This window comes from Homo sapiens, chromosome 1 (assembly GCF_000001405.40).
Source record: "Homo sapiens chromosome 1, GRCh38.p14 Primary Assembly".
In the NCBI taxonomy this organism is placed as follows: Eukaryota; Metazoa; Chordata; class Mammalia; order Primates; family Hominidae; genus Homo; species Homo sapiens.
In genome coordinates, this window is record NC_000001.11 from 90,890,546 (window position 1) to 90,894,301 (window position 3,756).

At 51.5% G+C, this 3,756-nt stretch overlaps 1 pseudogene, besides 1 other annotated feature; it reads right to left on the reverse strand.

Moving 5' to 3' along the window:
• Nucleotides 574–1,253: an enhancer, noted in NCBI's record as "NANOG-H3K27ac hESC enhancer chr1:91356676-91357355 (GRCh37/hg19 assembly coordinates)". NCBI's record gives its function as "activates a minimal SCP1, AML or CMV promoter by ChIP-STARR-seq in primed H9 embryonic stem cells {active_cell/tissue: H9 hESC(primed)}" and the evidence as "EXISTENCE:reporter gene assay evidence [ECO:0000049][PMID:30033119]".
• Nucleotides 2,445–3,464, reverse strand: PHKA1P1 (phosphorylase kinase regulatory subunit alpha 1 pseudogene; annotated as a pseudogene).

Below are 3,756 nucleotides of genomic sequence, written 5' to 3' on the forward strand. Positions count from 1 at the left end.
GATTGTTCCTCATTCCTTGCCCAAATCCCTCACACTGAGGCTTATATCCATTTATTGTTTGGAACGCAGGGGAGATAGAGAACAGCTGATCACCATCTTCCACATAATCGCCCTTCATATTTGTATCTGGGTGGAGCTTACATTCAAGACAGAAGCTTAGGGCCCAGTATGAGACTGGCTGAATAGGCTTTGTTCTTTAAAAATGTTAAAACTGCCATCACTCGGCCTACTGCTCTTTTAAATGAGTTTTCTTTTTTCCTACACCAGTTTCAGCGGTTTTCCAGGGTAGGAAGACCAAGTGACTAGACATCTGAATAAGCATTAATATGTTTTGCAGTCTTCATTCAGCTCACAACCCTTCAATATCATTTTGTTCCACAATAATTCAGGTCAATTCTTGAAACACAGTATGAGACATGTTATCAATGCCTTTAGCCCTGAAGAAGTCCAGCTTAAGTAGGCTTTTCCCAAAATCGTGTATTGCTTCTTACCTTACTAGTCATATGCACCATTTTCACTCTGGTTTTTAATGAACAGTTTACCTGAAATAAATTGGCAATAAAATTTATTAACATTTTTTGTTCTCGTATCATTTTGAACTTTGCTTTTCATTTTTTTTTTTAATTTATTGATTGATTGATTTATTGATCATTCTTGGGTGTTTCTCGCAGAGGGGGATTTGGCAGGGTCATAGGACAATAGTGGAGGGAAGGTCAGCAGATACACAAGTGAACAAAGGTCTCTGGTTTTCCTAGGCAGAGGACCCTGCGGCCTTCCGCAGTGTTTGTGTCCCTGGGTACTTGAGATTAGGGAGTGGTGATGACTCTTAAGGAGCATGCTGCCTTCAAGCATCTGTTTAACAAAGCACATCTTGCACCGCCCTTAATCCATTTAACCCTGAGTGGACACAGCACATGTTTCAGAGAGCACAGGGTTGGGGGGTAAGGTCACAGATCAACAGGATCCCAAGGCAGAATAATTTTTCTTAGTACAGAACAAAACGAAAAGTCTCCCATGTCTACTTCTTTCTACACAGACACGGCAACCATCCGATTTCTCAATCTTTTCCCCACCTTTCCCCCCTTTCTATTCCACAAAACCGCCATTGTCATCATGGCCCGTTCTCAATGAGCTGTTGGGTACACCTCCCAGACGGGGTGGCTGGCCAGGCAGAGGGGCTCCTCACTTCCCAGTAGGGGCGGCCGGGCAGAGGCGCCCCTCACCTCCCGGACGGGGTGGCTGGCCTCGCGGGGGCTGACCCCCCACCTCCCTCCCGGACGGGGTGGCTGCCGGGCGGAGACGCTCCTCACTTCCCAGATGGGGTGGCTGCCGGACGGAGGGGCTCCTCACTTCTCAGACGGGGTGGCTGCCAGGCAGAGGGTCTCCTCACTTCTCAGACGGGGCGGCTGGGCAGAGGCGCTCCTCACATCCCAGACGGGGCGGCGGGGCAGAGACGCTCCTTACTTCCTAGATGGGATGGCGGCGGGGAAGAGGCGCTCCTCACTTCCCAGACTGGACAGCCAGGCAGAGGGGCTCCTCACATCCCAGACGATGGGCGGCCAGGCAGAGACGCTCCTCACTTCCCAGACAGGGTGGCGGCCGGGCAGAGACTGCAATCTCGGCTCTTTGGGAGGCCAAGGCAGGCGGCTGGGAGGTGGTTGTAGCGAGCCGAGATCACGCCACTGCACTCCAGCCTGGGCACCATTGAGCACTGAGTGAACGAGGCTCCGTCTGCAATCCCGGCACCTCGGGAGGCCAAGGCTGGCGGATCACTCGCGGTTAGGAGCTGGAGACCAGCCTGGCCAACACAGGGAAACCCCGTCTCCACCAAAAAAATAGGAAAACCAGTCAGGCGTGGCGGCGTGCGCCTGCAATCGCAGGTACTCGGCAGGCTGAGGCAGGAGAATCAGGCAGGGGGGTTGCAGTGGGCCGAGATGGCAGCAGTACAGTCCAGCTTCGGCTAGGCATCAGAGGGAGACGTGGAGAGGGAGAGGGGGAGAGGGAGGGGGAGGGGAGGGGAGGGGGAGGGGGAGGGGATATGTTTGATCTTATTCCTGCTATCTTATTGTATGTCTTCTTCTTGTTTCCAGAGAAGACAATAGTGGGTAGGATGAAAAAGTAGAGCCAAGTTGAACAGTAATGCTGCTGCTGCTAATGATGATGATGATGATGATGATGATGATTTGGGGGATGGAGGAAAATAAAGAGGATAGAGGATTGAAAGATGATTCCTTGATATAAAGCTTGGTCAACTGATAAACGAAAGGAATAAAAGCCTTCTTTTGCTTGTTTTTGTAATGGTAGAGATGATAAGTTTAGTTTAAGTCCTTTCAAGTCCTTATGGCATATAAGTAGAGACATGCCACAAAAGCAGTTGGATATCAAATCTGCAGCTTATGAAAGTTTTCATCTACATATCCATGGTTCTACAGGAGAATCTGAATGTTGCCTTTGCCATTCCAACTGAACTGGCATTCAACTCTGAGATCCCTTGGTTGGTCTTGTCTCCACATTCCCATATCCCGAAGTCAGCAGTTTTATATGCAGCTTCAATGTAAAACACAAGGTTCTGTATGAAATTGACTTCATCTAGGCTGTGGATGATATGGAGTCCTGAGGCAGTCATTTGGGCTAAGAAGAGCAGGTACACAGAGGTAGCATCCAACTGCAGGTGTCCCCATTGATCATCACCCACTACAGTGGCACAGGTTTTGGTGTTGTACTTTGCATGGAGGCTATCCTTAGTACTCTGACTATATTTGAAGGATTCTACTTTATCCACCTGTCTGATCATGCAGTGCAGTAGTCCTCTCATCAGCTTCACTACACTCTGCTCCAATTCATAGGCCTTTGCCTTATCCTCATCCCGGTCTGCATTCTTCCGATAGGCCAGGCCCAAACCCCACACAGCCAAGATGCTGTACACATTATCTCGGACCCAAGCATCTTTCTGAACATAGCTGGCTGGAAGCAAGCCAGTCACTGGATTCTGATGGCACAGGATGGCCTGTTGCACCAGTCGAGCGTAGCCGTCCAGCCGGACCCCGGAGTTACTCCGGCTCCTCATGGCGACATGTTACTAATTGTCCTCTGAGAAATAGCCCGGGTGCCACCAGAGCCTTCGGTCCCTAAGGAACAAGTATCCAACGCTGCTCCACCCTCGTGGTGGGACGCCTGAACACCAGGCCCCGCAGAGCCCTCCCACCGCTCAGGCCTGGCGCCGCGGGTTCCGCGTAGCTCTCCGGACTCCGGCGGCCTCAGGGGCCCACCACGCGCCAGCGCTAGCACTGGCTTCCCGCGGTCTAGAGCCCCGCCGCAGCGCCCCAGTCGCCGCTCCTGCCCCCTTAGTCCAGTCCGGCCTCCACGTGTGACTCCTGCATCCTCCCCTCAACCCCGGGAGACCGCCGCGGCCCACAGCCTCCCGCCCGGCCGCCGCCAACAGGTCAACGACCGCTGCGCCGCCTGCTTTTCATTTATCAGACTATTTTCCTTCCTTTTTGAGTCTGTCGAGGCTGGGTGTGGTGGCTCATGCCTGCAATCCCAACGCGTTGGGAGGCTGAGGCAGGAGGATTGCTTGAGGCCAGGAGTTTGAGACCAGCCTGGGCAACATAGCAAGACCCCCATGTCTACAAAAAATAAATTAGAAGAGTCTGCTGTCTAAAGAATGTTGCTTACATATCCTTTGTATTAATTGCAGCTCAGTTCTTAGCAAGGTTTTCTCATTTTATTTCAATAAAGGGTCATAGTTTTATAGAA